Source organism: Homo sapiens, chromosome 4 (genome assembly GCF_000001405.40).
Source record: "Homo sapiens chromosome 4, GRCh38.p14 Primary Assembly".
NCBI classification, from domain to species: domain Eukaryota; kingdom Metazoa; phylum Chordata; class Mammalia; order Primates; family Hominidae; genus Homo; species Homo sapiens.
This window is the reverse complement of record NC_000004.12, coordinates 69,079,722-69,097,917: the sequence shown is the minus strand read 5'-3', so window position 1 is coordinate 69,097,917 and position 18,196 is coordinate 69,079,722. Positions and strand designations below refer to the sequence as shown.

General features: G+C 34.4%; 1 protein-coding gene across 3 annotated transcripts in view; it reads right to left on the bottom strand.

Moving 5' to 3' along the window:
* The window catches only part of UGT2B7 (UDP glucuronosyltransferase family 2 member B7), a 61,613-nt gene that overhangs the window by 15,070 nt on the left and 28,347 nt on the right, over positions 1-18,196 (bottom strand). For 2 of the 3 annotated variants that reach the window (NM_001074.4, NM_001330719.2), the window contains exon 1: positions 677-1,444. In NM_001074.4, coding sequence (NP_001065.2) covers positions 677-1,397 — 721 coding nt within the window. In that variant the 5' untranslated portion in view covers positions 1,398-1,444. Of the gene's footprint in view, positions 1-676; positions 1,445-8,314; positions 8,447-18,196 lie in introns of those variants that run through there. The other variant, NM_001349568.2, reaches the window with a different exon arrangement.

Genomic DNA, 18,196 nt, shown 5'->3' with positions numbered 1-18,196 from the left:
TAATTTGTCTCATATGTTCTAATAAAGAGACATAGTTTCAAAAAACTATGTAGATATAACAACCTTCACACTTCAACAAGATGATTGGACTTTAAATTAATGATTTCCAATTCTTTCGTGAAAGAGTATAGAAACATTAGAAACTTCAAATTGCCCTTATTGATTTTTGCATCTGAGGTATAGACATTATCTCTCTTTACTGTGAAGGAAACCTTCTGGTAATATGGGAACATCTTTTGATTTCTAAATAAGAAAACAAGTTTACAAGAAAAAACAATTTCTGCAGTTATATAGATAGTTGTAGAAAAATGTGTAACTACTCATTCTAAATCTATGCATTCAGTAAGAAGTTATTTGATGGATTTTACTGTTTTTAAGATGTAAAACAATGTATAGTAAAACAGATGTGTAATTGCTTAAAGTCTTAGATGCACTAATGTATAGGTTTATGATTTCCTGGGGTGTTCTGTGTGAGTGATGGCCACAGGGTTTTAACTGACCCTGTAATTTAAGCTTTTCTATAATATTTGTGAGATTAATAGATCATCTTGTATTTTTGTTTTATAAATTCACTTACCAAAACCCCACTACCCTGACTTTATGGCTTTATATAAGCTCTGCTTCAAAGACACAAATAAGTTAGAGCTTCATGTTACTGATTGAAAAAAATACTTACCTAGAACTTCACTATAAAACTGATCCCACTTCTTCATGTCAAATATTTCGAACCAAAAGTCAAAGTAAAGCACATAGATCATATTTTTTACCCTCTCCATGAAAGTCATTTGATCAGTTAATTCTGACATAACAACAGGTACGTAGGAAGGAGGGAAAATAAATCCTCCACTATGCTTTTCAAAAGTGTAGCCAGGAGAGAAGCTGAGACTGTACACAAAGGGTATGTTAAATAGCTCAGCCAGCAGCTCACTACAGGGAAAAATAGCATCTGCAAAAATGACGTCAAATCTTGACTCTTGTACTTTTTTCATAAATTTCTTATTTGAAACTACATCTTTACAGAACTTTCTAGTTATGTCACCAAATATTGACATGATTTCCTGTACTTGTGAAAAATATAACCAAAATGTATCTTTTGGAAGGTCTGACCATCTCTTAATCTGTTGCATGATGAAATTCTCCAACTCAGTTTTAGTTAAAGATGTGGGATAAATTTCAATTTTAAGAGCGGATGAGTTGTTGGGATCAAAAAGAATGGAAGCTGAAGATGCCAGTACAGTCACCTCATGACCTCTCTGAATAAGCTCATCCAGGATTGTCTTTATATTCATCCAATGGCTGTATTCTGCTGCCCACACCAGCACCTTTCCACAATTCCCAGAGCTAAAGCAAAAGCTCAGTTGTATTAGCAAAATTACTGAAGTCCATTTCACAGACATCCTGGTGCAATGCAATGCTTGTTTTCCAGTTGCTGTTCCTTTCTGTCATTTCTCATGGTTATGTCCAAAGATAAATTAGCCAAGAAGTTAAAATGTAACCCTTATAAGTCAAAGTACATACAATATCATTAAATCAACAGTCTGAGCATGTGGATGGCAAAGAGACAAATGAAGGTAAATGATCTGTTCACACAGATGTGATTAATTTCCCTTTTATGTTTATGAGTGCTATCCTTCAGCTAATATCAAGGATCTTGTATGGACATGCCATCTGTCTTATGCAATATATTTTAGAAGAGTGTCCAGAACAGTAGCAGTGACAGATCTTGTTTCTGCAGTCCATTTGACACAAAACTAAAGATTAAATGACTAAACATGGTCCACATATTTTTGTAAACTTTGTTGACATGTAATTTAAATATCATACTATTTATCAATTATTGTGTAAAATTTAATGTTTCATAGTATATTCACAGAATTGTGCATCTACCATAACAATCAGTTGGAGAGCCCTTTTATCTCCCCAAAATAAGCCCTATAGTCCTTAGCCTTTTTCTCTCCACCCCTAGTTTCTGCATTTCCCCTGTCCTAGGTAATTGCTAATTGAATTTCTATCTCTATAGATTTGCCTATTCTGGACAATTTTTAATGCATAGAATCATACAATATGTGGTATTTTGTGACTGGCTTCTTTTATGTAACATAATATTTTAAAGGTTCATTTATGATATAGCGTATACATGTTGATTCTTACAACCATCATGTAAGATATTGAGAGTTTCAAGATGACACTATCTTTTTAAACTTTGTTAAAGTAATCAAAGATAAAGAAAGAAAAAGAGAAAAGTAAACCAAGCTTGTAGTACATTCAGCATTAATCATTAGGTTAGCTTGTTCTCCGACTCACTTCCTCACAGTTATTTGGCTGTTGTCCTAGAATTATGCAGACCCTGTTACAAGACTATAGTTCCTCTTAATCCTTCTATAAATATTAACTTAAACATTATGAAATGATCAACTTTCCTTTTGAGGTATTCCTTCAGGTCCAGCATACTGCTAAAACTACTGACTCGGCTGGTCTGAAGGATCTCACTGATGTCAGCTGATCTGAAAGACTTCACTGATGCCAGCTGATCTAGAGGACCCCACAAGGAACTGACTCAGCAAATAATGTAGTTTCTTGTTCTGATGACTTTACCCTATTACCCTGACTAATCAATTACCCAAATTTTCCAGCCTATCACCATCTATGATCTCCTTAAAACCTCCAACCCAGAACTCCTTGAGGAGCTGGATTTAGGGTTCTCTTCTTATCTCCTTGCTCAGTGCCCTGCAATTATTAAACTCCTTCTTTGCTGCCAAATCTGACGTCTCAGTGTAATTGGACTATTATTGGACAGTAAGCATATGAAACTGTTGGTCCTATAACAAAACTTTAATGGAATAAGTAACTGCAAATATAATAAAACTAGAAAGATAACTATAATTAGAAGTGGAACTTAATGATGTAACAGAATTGATGAAATCTCATGATAAAACAAATAAGTGAGGAGTTACTACTTTTGGAGGGGCAAAGAAACTTGTTTCCTGAGATGGAATCTACTCCTGGTGAAGATGTTATGAACATTGTTGAATGACAACAGGAGATTTAGAATATTACTTAAACTTACTTTATAAAGCAGCGTTAGAGTTTGAGAGGATTAATTCCAATTTTGAAAGAAGATCTTCTATGGGTAAAATGCTATCTGACAGCATTGCATGCTAAAAATATCTTTTGTGAAAGGGTGGGTTAATGTATGTGGCAAATGCCATTGTTGTCTTATTTTTAAGAAATTGCCACAGCCATGCTAAGTACTAGCGGCCACCACCAAAATGAGTTAGCAACCATCAACATTGATATGAGAATCTTCATCAACAAAAGTTGCACTGACTGAAGACTCAGATGATCATTAGCACTTTTTAGCAATTAAGTGTTTTTAAATTAAGGCATGTATTTTTTTAGACTTAATATTATTGCAGACTTAATATGCTATAGCATTGTGTAAACATAACTTTTTATATGCCTTAGAAACCGGCCGGGCGCGGTGGCTCACGCCTGTAATCCCAGCACTTTGGGAGGCCGAGGCGGGCGGATCACGAGGTCAGGAGATCGAGACCATCCTGGCTAACACGGTGAAACCCCGTCTCTACTAAAAAAAAAAAAAATACAAAAAATTAGCCGGGCGTGGTAGCGGGCGCCTGTAGTCCCAGCTACTCGGGAGGCTGAGGCAGGAGAATGGCATGAACCCGGGAGGCGGAGCTTGCAGTGAGCCGAGATCGCGCCACTGCACTCCAGCCTGGGCGACAGAGCGAGACTCCGTCTCAAAAAAAAAAAAAAAAAAAAAAAAAAAAGAAACCAAAACAAATTGTGTGATTTGCTTCATTGCAATATTTGCTTTATTTTAGTATTCTAGAACCAAATCTGCAACATCTCAGAAGTATGCCTTGTATTAGTGAAAACACTTAATATGAGATATACTCTAAAAATATTTTAAGCTGGAGGAGTGGCCAGGATGACTGACCGGAAGTAGGTAATATGCATGGCTCTCACAAAGATGAACAGAAGGGGTGAGTAAATACAGCCCCTTCAACTGAAACATACGGGCACTCGCATTGGGACTATTTAAGGAAACAACTTGATCCACAGAGAATGAAGAAAAGTAAGGCAGGATGACTGCCAACCTGGCATCAACACAGAACCAAGGAAAATTTCCTCACCCAGGGAAGTGGTGAGTGAATGTGCTACCCCAAATAACATGCTTCTTTCACAGATTTTTGTAACCCTCAGGTCACAAGATCCCCTCATGAACCCACTTAACCAGGTCTTCAGTCTGACACACAAAGGTATGTGGAGTCTCAGCAGAGCAGCCACTCAGGCACGTGTAGAGACGTGATGCCTTTAGATACTCTGGCTTTCAGGGCTTCCTGGCAAAAGTAGCTGTAGCTCTTGCAAAGTGGAAGGTTAGAATTGCAAAGTGGGAGGCTGAATTCAGGGGGCTGAGCAGTGACAGTCTGCGGGCCCCATTTTCACAGCACCTCACAGGATAAGATCCACTGGCTTGGAATTTCAACCAGCCGTGATAGCAGTGTTGGGCCTCCCTGGAATGGAACTCTCAGCCGCGTGGGGTGGGCCACCATCTTTGCTGTTTGTGCAACTTAGCTGTTCTGGCATTTGAGCTTTGGAGCATCCAAATCGACCACAGAAGGAAGGAATTCCCCAGCACAACACAGCTACTCTACCAAAACATGGCCAGACTGCTTCTTCAAGTAGGTTGCAGATCCTGTTCCACCTCACTGGGTGGGACCTCCCAACAGGGGACTCCAGTCATTTCCACCATTGTTCTTAGGCCAGCAGAGATTTGAAAACTCCCTGGGACAGAGCTCACAGAGATATGGGCCGCCATCTTTGCTGTTTGGGTGACTTAGCAATTCCAGCCTGTGGGCTTTGGAGATTATGTATGACAAACCATATGTCTTCCAAATCTTCCAAAGTATTAATATTGTTTTTTTTTTTTTTTTCTGGGGTGGGGGTATTGTTTTTGGCATGACTCTTAACAAGTATCAAGAAAAATGGTTAACTGACTCTAAAGAAAGTGTAACTATTTTAAGAAATGTATTACTTCTATTCCCAATTAGATTTTGATTATTCTTTCATTGGTATCACTGTTAGAGTTTTGCATGTAGGATAGCTATATAAAAATGTATTATTTATATTTACATAGATTTCATTTAACTCTCTTCTATTTATTTTGATAACTCATTTAAAATAAAAGACACTTATCTAATGCCTCACTATAAAATGATTACCAAAAATGAAAGTCATAATCCTGGATACAAAAGGTAAAGAAAACTTATATTTTTCATATTTTATGTTTTATATTTTACTTTTTATATTTTATATTTTACTTTTTCCAGAAAGGTCACTCTGTCCTACGATGTGCACAGGTACATAGGAAGGTGGAGCTAGAAGTTTCCTGAAGCATCACTCCCTGTTGCATCCTAAGTGTGAGCACAAAAGGGACTGCAAGCAACTCAGCCACTAGCTCCCCAGAGAAAATTATAGGGTCAGTAAACCATTACTCTGTAATGATTCATTTCCTGCAGCTGCTTCATGAGTGCCTGACTGTAGACAACACTCACATAGTGGTTTAAAAATTCCACCCAATTCAATTAAAGAATATATTTAGTTTTACCTTCCATTACCAGATGATAAGCCAGGAAAGATACTGAGAACTGGGTCTACAAGCCAAATATAGTGGCTCAACCTGTAATCCCAGAACTTTGGGAGGCAAGATGAGAGGATCATTTAAGGCCAAGAGTTTGAGACCAGCCTGGGTAACATAACAAGACCTACTCAGTACAAACATTTTACAAAAAAATTGACCAGGTGTGCTGGGGTGTGCCTACAGTCCTAGCTACTTGGGAGGCTTTGGTGGGGAGGATCACTTGAGCCTGAGAGTTCGAGGCTGAAGCAAGCCATGATTGCACTTCAGCCTGGGTGACAGAGCAAGACCTTGTCTCAAATAGAAAATAAAAGAAAATAATAAGCTAGGTCAAAAAATTCATCATTTGAATTCTCAAGATTATCTTTGTCATGTGCCACATGGACCTCCTTGAAGTTCAATGAAGAAGGCTTCTTGTAGTCAATGAGAAAAGCCTGTAGTAAGTAAACATTGTTACTTTGTGGCCCCTTTCTATGAGTTTATCTGGAATGTTTTTGACATTAAGCTAATGGCTCATGTCACAAGGCCAACCAGGACTTTCCCACAGAATGCACAACCAGCACAGCAGAGCTGCAGGTGCAGAATACTTGAAGCCCACTTCTCAGAAACTGTGATGGTAGCTCCCAGACGCACTGCTCACAGAGATTAAGAGTTTACAGGGCTCCGAATTGAAATAAATATACACAGATGTTAAAAATTAAATATTAAATATGAATGGCCACGCTTTATTTTGAAACTTGATGTTTATTACGGCAATCAAAAAATTATGTATCCAGAAAAATTTGTTCCAACCTTTAAAAAATAAAAATACATGAAATATAACTGTACTAATCTATATTTTCAATGACAGAAAAAAAAAACAAAATCTTTAAAGTTTCTAATTCACACAAAACACAAACATACACACACTTTCTTTCATTCCACACAAAACCCAAAGGTACAAGGTGGTTTTGGAAAACAAATATTTTACATTGCTTCACCTATGTGGACCCCGACTAATTAGCTGATAATACATTGAATAGCTATAATATAAAGACTATTTTGATATGAATCACATGAGTAATACAGGATGTGTTTAGAGTTCCAGAGAAAAAACACAAGTACTTCTACATGAAATAATTAGAAAAACTTAATTAGGCAGGTAACATGATATGAGATGAAAGCTTTGATTGGACCTAGGCAGTGTGTGGTAAAGAAGGGATTTTCCAATAAAGAACAGAATGAGTAAAGGTCATGGATATATGAAGAGCATCCCAATGTGTATGGATCACAGAGAAATTTGAGGGCAAGCTATTAAAAAAGACAGTTAATTTGGAATGAAGACCTTAGGCAGTCTTAATTGTCATACTATGGATTTGGATTTTAATACATGACCAAAATTTACTTACACAACTTTTAAAAAATGACAGTTATGAAATCAAGATTTTCCTTTAGCAAGCAACTGTGTCGACTAATATTGGCATGTAAAGTCAAGACCTTAAAATTAGAAAGACTATTAAAAATGTGTGTTTGTAACCAAAACAGGCGATCATAATGGCCTGATATGGTTTATCTGTGTCCCCGCCAAAATCTCATCTTGAAGTATAACTACCACAATTCCCACATGTTGTAGGAGGGACTTGATGGAGGTAATTGAATCATGGGGATGAGTCTTTTCCATGCTTTTCTCCTCATAGAAAAACTTTGCTTTAGACTTTGCTGTTTGTTTTTGGATAGTTAGTTGTCTTTACTTTCTGCTTTTTTTCATGTCTCCTTTGCTCCTTGATTTTATATATTAATTTATTTTTAATTAAAAAAGAAAAAGAAGTTACTTAGAATTTATGTTCAATGTTGAATTTTGTTTGTCTTTATGCCTTTTGTCACATAATTTGTTTTTTATGGGAAAGCTATGTGAAAATCTTGCATTTGAAAACATAGGAATACATAGATATTCCAATTTAATAGGCAAAACTAATTTCACAATCCTAATTAGCATACATGCTTTTATTGAGTTTTATGAACTTTAATTAAACATTACATTTTTAAAAAGTCACTGGATAGTGCATAAATAGTACTACCCAAATAGTGGAAATCTAGAATTGCAATAACAAGAAAGTTAAAATTAACTGACTACTAGACTATAATATCAAAATTGTAATTGCCTTTTAATTCTTGAAAAGTCTAATTCATAAGAAAGACTACGTGAATCTAAGCTTCTACTTTTATACCCAAGTACACTGAATGGAGTTCCTATACAATCAAATATGTTGAGGATATTCTTGGGCATAATTCTTCTCTATCTTTGTAATATCAGCCCTCCCTTTTTATGTTCCTTGGAGTTAGTACACTTCAGGGTTTTTTTATTTGTTGTTTTTGAGTAGTCAGCACAGGACTTAAGATTTAAAATCTCAAAATGTGAGATAGGAACTTAATATTTTATTTTCATTTTGTCACAAACAAATGACAACAAAGAGAAGTATTTCCAAAGTAACTTCAAGCATTCATAGGCAAATGATTAGTTGAGCCCACATACACTACTATAATGCTTTAAATTATTCTATGTAGAAGTAGTGCCTGTTAATGCAAAGCAGAAAATGAGATTCAAGTTCCAAATGGAAAGCCACATTTTCTTCACTGTGTAAATGGCTGCTTATAAGGATTGGACGTTGTACTCACCTTCTGTGGAATCTGGGCCAAGTCTGAAGCAATGAGATCAGCCTTCTCTTCTATAAGGTTTTGCACAACTGGCCCCAGAGAAAACACCACAGTGCCATCTTTGCCAGAGATCTGGACAAATGCTTTCATTTCCTACAAAGAAAATAATTTCTGCATCATAAAGATGCAATATCATGTAGAATAATATAGTTTACTTATGCTTTAATAAAAATCTGAAGAAGTTGTGATATGTATAGTTATATTGTCCCTATATTCTGCCATGTACTGCCAGTCTCTACAAGAAAGTTTGTGTTGGAAACACATAGCTTCAATACATAGTAATTATGTACTAGAAACGGTACACAAATAATTATACAGAACACTTAAATGATAAATATACAGCTCTTTTAATATTTGGTAGATAGCTAATTCTAAAATCATAATGGTTTGCAAACTCATAAAAGTATTCCTTGAGGAGTGATGTCAGTAAAATGATGAAATAACACCTCCCAACATTAATTCCCACACAAAAATAGAGCTAGTAACTATGTAAATACAAAAAGCCACACTGAATTCACCAGAGCTAAAAAGAGAAGAAGAAAATCCCAAGACTCATAGACATGGGAAAACTCATGATCTGTAAAATGAATAATTTTTTGGATTATGGCACCCCTTCCACACACCAAGAAGACACCACTGTGACAGAACTTTATTTTACCTGCAGTTGCCAAGATCAGAGGAGGAAATTTGAAGTGAATGTTCAGTTTCTTCATGGATCTGTGAATCTTTTTGGTTTGGGAAGCCCACTTTTGTCCTACCTCAGGAGAGGCATTAGGAGTGGCTATAGAGTTGAATGACCTGGGGTGAATTGGAAACAAGAGTGGAAGTACTAATCACAGTGACAGGCACACACATCTCAGCAACTGCTTGGTGTTCCTATTAGCAGGAATGCCACGCTGAGGAGTCTGACCAGTTCCATAACACTGCAGGGGCCAAAATCCAAAGGAAGGCCTGAATCTTTGGCAGGTATTTTTATAATTCCCAGATACTCATACGGAGCTTTTCTATGACCTGCAAACAAGTATAACATTTGAGATTAAGCTCCAGTTATTGCTTAAGTATCTCACAGACCTAGAAATCACTGCAAGTCTAGTTTTAAGTTACAGTGCAGAATTAAGGTTCAGATGCTCCGTAAAATTTTTGACAAGAAATTCAGTGCACACCTATTTTAAAAGTTCAGAAATCACAGCACATATGAATAGAGAGTTGAAAAAAACACACTTTAGAGAATAATCCAGGAAAATGATGATAAATTTTGCAAAGAAGTGGAAATGTTTTAAAAATAAAAAGAAATCCAATTAATAAAAAATATGTGAAGTGAATTGAAAAACTCAGTAGAAAACTTCAACAGCAGACTTGGTCAAACAGAGTAAGGAATCAGCAATCCTAAAGATAAAACATATGTAATTACCCAATCAGAAGAGCAAAAAAAGAGAAATAATTAAAATTAGTGAAGTAGGCATATGGAAAGTATCAAACATTATTAAGAAAACTACCTCCATATAATAGGAGTTCTTAAAGGAGATAAGAAATAAAAAGTCTAGAAAGCATATATAATAAAATAATGATGGAACATTTTGTAAATCTAGAGAAAGATGACAGTATCCATGTACCCTAATCAAATTTAATCCGAAGAGTATTTCCCAAAGGCACATCCTATTTAAATTGTTAAAAGGCAAATACAAAGAAAGAATATTGATAGCAGTATAAGAAAAGGTTTATACCATATTAAACAATGTCCCAATTCAAGTTTCATCAAATTTCTCAAAAAAAAATAAAATAAATAAATCAACTTGTGAGCAAGAAGACAATAAGATATACATTTAAAGTGCTGAAAAAAATCTGCCATGCAAAAATACTGAGCCTACCGAAGCAATTCTTCAAACCTGAAAGAGTGATAACATTTTCCGAAACAAAAGATAAGGCATTCATAAACATCAGACCAATCTTACAAGAAATAATACAAAGGAGAATTGTTTTATTGGAAAGAAAAGGACACTCACATGTAATAAGAATACATCTGAAGGCATAAAAAGCAGTAGTAAAACCAATTATAAAGACAAACTCAGAATACTCTAATACTATAATTGTGGTATATAAGCCATTTATATCTTTATCATGAAGATAAAAAGACAAAGTTATTAAAGAAAATCATAACTACAATTAAGAGATGGAAATATGAAAAGATATAAATTGAGACATGAAAAAGTCAATATGTGGAAGACAAAATTATGTCAAAATACAGAGTTCTGTTTATTTTTCTTTGTGCTCAAAGTTGTCACCAGTTTTAAATATCTAACAATAAAATATTTTTGTAAATCTTTCATTAACTAAGAAGCCAAACTTAGACACAACAAACACAAATGGCATGGAATCAAAACATATTACTAGAGAAAATTACTTAACCATAAAGGAAGACACAGAGAGAGAGAGACAGAGAGAGAGAGACAGAGTGAGAGAGAAAGGAAGACACAGAGAGAGAGAGACAGAGAGAGAGAGAGAGAAAGAGAGACAGAGCGAGAGAGAAAGGATATACAGAAACTAACCTAGAAAACAATTAACAAAATGGAGGTAGTAAATCTTTATCTATTAGTAATATTACAAATGAAATTGATTGAATGATCCAAGTAAAAGACATAGAGTGACTGAATGGATAAATAATTAAAACTCAACTGTATTGTTGCCACAGGAAACTCACTTCACCTATGAAGGTGTACACAGACTAAAAGAAAAGAAATAGAAAAATTTGTTTCATGTCATTGTAAACAATAAAAAAAATACAGTAGTAGCTATACTTAGTTAAAATATATTTTAAGTCAGGATTGATAAGAAGTTGGCCATTGTATAATAATCAAGAGCTCCATAGAGCAACAGAATAAAATTGTAAATATATATGGTCATAACACTGGAACATCCAAATATATAAAGCAAAATTTATAGAGCTGAAGAGAGAGATTGACTGTGATATGATAATAGTAGAAGAGTGCAGCACTTTACTTACAATAATAAAAATATAATTCAGACAGAAAATCAATGAAAAAACCTCAGAGTTAAACTGCACTCTAGGTAAGATAAACCTAACACGGACATTTACAGAACATTCCATCCAACAGCTGCAGAGTATGTAATCTTCTCAATAGCACATGAAACATCTTCTAGAATAGACCATATTTTAGGTCAAAATAAGTCTTAAATTTTTTTAAAATCAAAATGGTGTCAATTTTTTTCCACAATGGAATAAAACTAGAAATCAATAAAAGAAAGAATATGGGAACATGTACAACTATACATAAATTAAATGTGCTCATAAACAACCATTGAGTCCATAGATAAATTATTTTAAAATATATGACAAAAATAAAAATGGAAAGACAATATAACAAAACCTAGAAGATATAGAAAAAATAAGTTCTAAAACAACAAATATATGCCAATAAATGTCTTCATTAAAAATGCAGAAATATCTTAAATAAACAACCTATAGTACCTCAAGAAATCTGAAAACAGAAACTAAACTAAAAAATAGTAGAAAAGGGATATAATAAAGATTATAGAGAAAAAATAGAGATTTTTAAAATATTTAAAAATCAACAAGACAAAACGGTTTATTGAATACGTAAAATTTAAAAAGCTTCAGCTAAGTTAACTACAAAAAGAGATGACTCAAATAAAATGAGAGATGAAAAGGATACATAACAACTGATACACAGAAATACAATGGATTATAAGATATTATTATAAACAAGTTCATGCCAACAAATTAAAAAATCTAAAGGATAAGGAAAGTTTTTGGACACATACCACCAACCAGGATTGAATTAAAAATAAATAGAAACATGAACAGGGAAATAATGAGTAACAAGACTGAAGCAGTAATAAGAACTCACAAAACAAAAACAAAAACAAAAAACCATGAACTGATAGTTTCAGTACTAACTCAAGATGGATTAAAGACTTATATGTGAAACCTAAAACCATAAAAACCCTAGGAGAAAACCTAGGCAATGCCATTCAGGACATAGGCATAGACAAATACTTCATGACTAAAGCACCAAAAGCAATTGCAACAAAGTCAAAATTGACAAATGGGATCTAATTAAACTAAAGAGCTTCTGCTGAGTAAAATAAACTATCATCAGACTGAACAGGAAACCTACAGAAAGGGAGAAAATTTTTGCAATCTATCCCTCTGACAAAGGGCTAATATCCAGAATCTACAAAACAGTTAAACAAATTTACAAGACAAAAACAAACAACCCCATCAAAAAGTGGGTAAAGGATATGAACAGACACTTCTCAAAAGACATTTATGCAGCCAACAAACATGAAAAAAAGCTCGTCATCATTATCATTAGAGAAATGCAAATCAAAACCAAAATGAGATACCATCTCCCACCAGTTAGAATTGCAGTCATTAAAAAGTGAGGAAACAACTGATGCTGGAGAGGATGTGGAGAAATAGGAATGCTTTTACACTGTTGCTGGGAGTGTAAATTAGTTCAACTGTTGTGGAAGACAGTGTGGCGATTCTTCAAGGATCTAGAACTATAAATACCATTTGATCCAGCAATCCCATTACTGGGCATCTACCCAAAGGATTACAAGTCATACTATTTTAAAGACACATGCACAAGTATTTTTATTGCAGCATTATTCACAATAGCAAGGATTTAGAACCAACCCAACCAATGCCCATCAATGATAGACTGGACAAAGAAAATGTGGCAATATATACCATGAAATACTATGCATTTATAAGAAAGAATGAGTTCATGCCCTTTGTAGGGACACAGACCAAGCTGGAAACCATCATTCTCAGCAAACTAACACAGGAACAGAAAACCAAACACTTCATGTTTTCACTGCTAAGTGCAAGATGAACAATGAGAACACATGGACACATGGAGGGATACATCACACACTGGGGCCTGTCGTGCGTTGGGGGGAAAGAGGAGGGAGAGCATTAGGACAAATACCTAATTCGTGTGTGGCTTAAAACCTAGGAGACTGGTTGATGGGTGCAGCAAACCACCATGGAACATGTATACCTATGTATCAAACCTGCATGTTCTGCACATGTATCCAAGAACTTAAAGTATAATTAAAAAATTAATCCATTTTTTCCCAAATATTTTTTCCAAAACATTAAAGAGAAGTAAATGCTTTAAAAATGATTTGTCAAGAGTATGATTACCTTGATAGTAAAACCAGAAAGAAGGAGCTAGAGAGAGAGAAAATTTATAGACCAATAATCCTGATGAACATAGACGCAAAAATACTCAACTTCTAGCCAACCAAATCCAACAACACATCAAAAAGATTATACATGATGAGGAACTGGGATTTATCCCAGGGATACAGAGAAGGTTAAGCATATGCAAAACAATAAATGTGATATATTATATCAAGAGAATTAAGAAAAAACATATAATTTTATCAGTAGATGCACAAAAAGCATTTGATAAAATTTACATTTCTTCATGATGAAAACTTTCAACTTTCAACAAGTATACTAAAAACACTTCAAACTTATAAAGGCCATATATGACAAATGCACAGGTAACATCAGAGTAAAAAAGGAAAGTTGGAAAGCTTTGTCTCTAAGATCTGGAACAAGACAAAGATGTCCACGTTGACCACTCTTATTCAATATATCATTAGAATTTCTAGCCAGAGCAAGTAGCCAAGAGAAAAAAGAAAGGTCATCCACTGGAAGGGAGAAAATCAAATTATCCCTCTCTGCATATGACATGATTTTATACACAGAAAATCCTAAAGACTCCATCAAAAGCTCTTAAAATTGATCAACAAATCCAGTAAAGGCAGAAGATACTAAATCATCACCCAAAAATCAGTTGTGTTTCCGTATTCCAATATCTAAATGTTTAAAAAAGGCAAAGAAAATAAATCACATTTACAAAGTTACAAAAATGAAATTGTGTAGGAATAGGTTTAGCCATGAAAATATAAGATCTTTACAATAAAAATGATAAAACATTGATGAAAGAAATGGAATAAAACACATCTGTAGTTATAAAGTCTTGAACTCCTCAAAGTCATCCATGAGGATTGGAATCAAGTTCTTCCAAACTCCTGTTAATATTTATACGTTGACCTGCTCCTATGAATCAGAAATATTTCAAATAGAAATGTTTCTAATACACTAAATTACTTACAGAAGGTTTACAATTTACTCTGCCCATATTAATCACAGAAATCACAATCTAAGACAACAATAGCATTATAAAATGTATTTCTTAAATGATAAAACTTGAAAGTAAATTTACACCTTTATTAGTGGGCTGCAGAATAGATGCAATGTTGGTGGGCATGAAAACAACATTAATCTCTTTGTACATTCCTATCAGAACTTTTGGGTGTCCATGTGCATTTTCATTAAGCAGTAATATTTTGAAATAAATTTTATTTTCTGAGGAGTAGATCTCAACAGTCAGCTTAAAATATTCAGTGAGTCATGCTTTTAAAATATGTGCTGTCATCTAGGCATTGTTTTTCTATTTATAGTACACAGGCAAAGCAGATTCTCAAGGGCTCTCAACTCATAATTCTCAAGGACTCTAGAACTTTCAAAATAATAAATGAACATTGGCTTCAACTAAACTCACCAGCTGAATTAGCCACTAACGAAAGAGTCAGCCTGTCTTTTAATGCTCTAAAGCCAGGCATTGACTTCCCCTCTTTAGCTATCAAAGTCTCAGATGACATATTTTTTCAATAAAGGACCGTTTTGTCAACATTCAAATTCTGTTGTTTAGTGTAATCACCATCATCAATGATCTTAGCTAGGTTGTCTAGATAATTTCCTGCAGCTTCTACATTGGCACTTGCTACTTTACTTTGTACTTCTTTGTTATAGAGATAGATTTATTTTTTTCTCAGCCTCATGAGCCAATGTCTGCTAGCTTTCCACATTTTTCTCTTTGGCTCCCTCATGTATTTCAGCCTTCATAGATTAAAAAGAGGTAGGGTCTTGCTCTGGATTAGGGTTAGGGTTAAGGCGTGATTGTGGCTGGTTTGATATATCCAGATTAAAACTTCTTCACATGAATGATAATGCGGTTTTACTTTTTTACCATTTGGGCATTCACTGGAGTAACACTTCTAATTTCCTTCGTGAACTTTGTTTTATCTTTTTTGTTTTTTTTTTAATTCACAACTTGGCTATTTGATGCAAGAGGCTTAACTTTAAGTCTTTCTGAGCTTTTAACATGCCTTCCTCATGTTCCTTAATTATTTCTAGCTTTTGATTTAAAGTGAAAGATGTGGTACTCTCCCTTCTACTTAGGGACCTTCGTAAGTTTATTAACTGGCTTAATTTCAATGTTGTTGTGTCTCAGGAAATAGGCCTGAGGTGTGGGAGAGAGACTAGGAAACAACTGGTATGTAGGGCACTCAGGAGACACCCATTTATTAAGTTGGACATCTTATATGGGCATAATTTGTGATGCCGCAAACCAATTACAACAGTAATATGAAAAATCACCAATCACAGATCACCAGGACAGATATAATAGTAGCGAAAAACCTTGAAATTTTGTGAAAATTAGCAAAATGGGTCACAGAGATATAAATTTGTTACTTGCCATTTTAAAAATTATGTCAGTAGACTTGCATGATGTGCAATTGCCACAAGCATACAATTTGTGTAAAAAAGAAACAAAAAAACCTAAATATGTGTAAACCATAATAAAACAAAGTGCAATAAAATAAGGTATGCTTGTTCTCTGAAGAATATTATGATGTGTGATGTAAATGGTGCAATATGATCAGAAGCCCAGAGAAAACCATTATCCATCTATGGAGCAATCAGAAAAAGCTGGTGTGACAGATCACATAATACGGTGAGATGAAAGCTTTGGTAGAATCTAGACAGAGTGGCTAAAGGAAACAAATCACAGAAGGAGAGAAGTCCTGATGTTTGGAAATTATTCCCACAAGTATGAATTTTTGAGTAAATTGTATACCAGAGATTATAAAAGAAAAATTTTGGTTGAAATTGGAGGTCTTGTGTAGCTTTGTGTGATGTATACAGGTTTCTATTTTAATTTACAGGCAAAATAATTTAATCTAGTTTTAAGGAAAGCCAGTCAAAAGGTCATTTTTGTTTTGTTTCTTTAGCAAGCCACTCTGACAGCTAAACAAAGATTGGCAAGTAAACAGAAGAGTGTAAATGTAGGAAAAATAATTACAAGTGTATATTAGGAAACCAAGTATGAGATTATAGGGCTGTGGCTTGCATTGATAATAGTAAATGTGAGGAATATAATTTGAATTTGTGATTACTGACTACATCTGATGCTGAAAGTGTTGTATCAACAAAGACACTGATATGGTTTCTACCTGAATGGTCAAAACATTGATAATGCCATTAGGTAAAATATGATACAAAAAATGAATGTTACATTTGGGAAAATTACAATCTTTCTGCAATTTGTTTTTCTTCAGTGATTAATTTAGTAATAATATTTCTCTATGTAAATAATTATAACTTCCTTGGAGACTCATTGTTGGGTAAAGTGATAGAGTTTCAAGATATGAATTAGATAATAATTTATCTATCTACTCAGCTATCTATGCTTCTGTGTTTTTTTTATGTTACACATTTAATGCACAATTTACAGCACTTACCTAATCCACTCATTAATGGTATGTAGAGAATAAAAGAGAATGTGATGTAGTTCCTATGCTCAAGTAGCTCACGTTTATATTTAAATAAGTTGAATCGCATTTATTTCTATATTAAAGAAAGGGCTCCATTAGAGATATTCCATGGTGAGGAGTGTGTAAAGAAGAATGTTTAGTACAGAAAGTCAATTGCATTTAATTTTTTTCAGATGAAGCTATGCTTCAGCTGAGACTTTTCAATAGGTGCTTAGCGAGTCAAAGGAATACTATTTAAAACCCTGATCAATTTTAATCGTCTCATTTTGCTAAGAAGAGAACCACAAGCAAATTTGGAAGTATAGTCATTGATAGATTTTCTTTTTTTTTTTTTTGAGACGGAGTCTTGCTCTGTTGCCCAGGCCAGAGTGTAGTGCTGCGATCTCAGCTCACTGCAACTTCTGCCTTCTTGGTTCATGCAATTCTTGTGCCTTAGTCTCCTGAGTAGCTGAGATTGCAGGCATGTGCTACCATGCCTGGCTAATTTTTGTATTTTTAGCAGGGACGGAGTTTTACCGCATTGTCCAGTCTGGTCTCAAACTCCTGACCTCAGGTGATCCAAACATCTTGTCATCCCAAAGTGCTGGGATTACAGGTGTGAGCCACCACACCTGGCAGACAGAATTTTTGAGAGAGGGAGAAAGGATCAGATATTTCATATTTCACAATATTTTTTGTTTTACTGTTAATGTTGTTGTGCTTTGATACAACAAATGTCTCAGAGACTCAGGGTCATTTATTTAGCAGAACCTATTTGAGAGGAAGGATTAGAGTCAACAGTTGGAGAATCATTTGCTTTGCATAAATAGGCAAGATGATAACAGATTTTCTGATAGTAATTGATAGAGTGAATGACACTTCACAGGGAAAAAATGCAAAAAAAGATGCTAAGGTTAATAAATATATTAGAAGAAAGTGAAGTATTTAAAAATATTTGACAATAAATATTATTTCCAAGCTATATACAAAACTCAGGAATGCTAGGATTACAGTATAGCTGTATCACTTCTGTAAAAAAAAAACAAAAATTGGATTAAGAACCTTATTAATAACACCAAAAGCCAAAGTCAGGTTTTAAGATTATGTTCACATTGTATATGCCAAATAAGTAAATTTTGCTTATGTGAGAAACTTGACCCTATCCGGAGAGGCCAAGCAGGT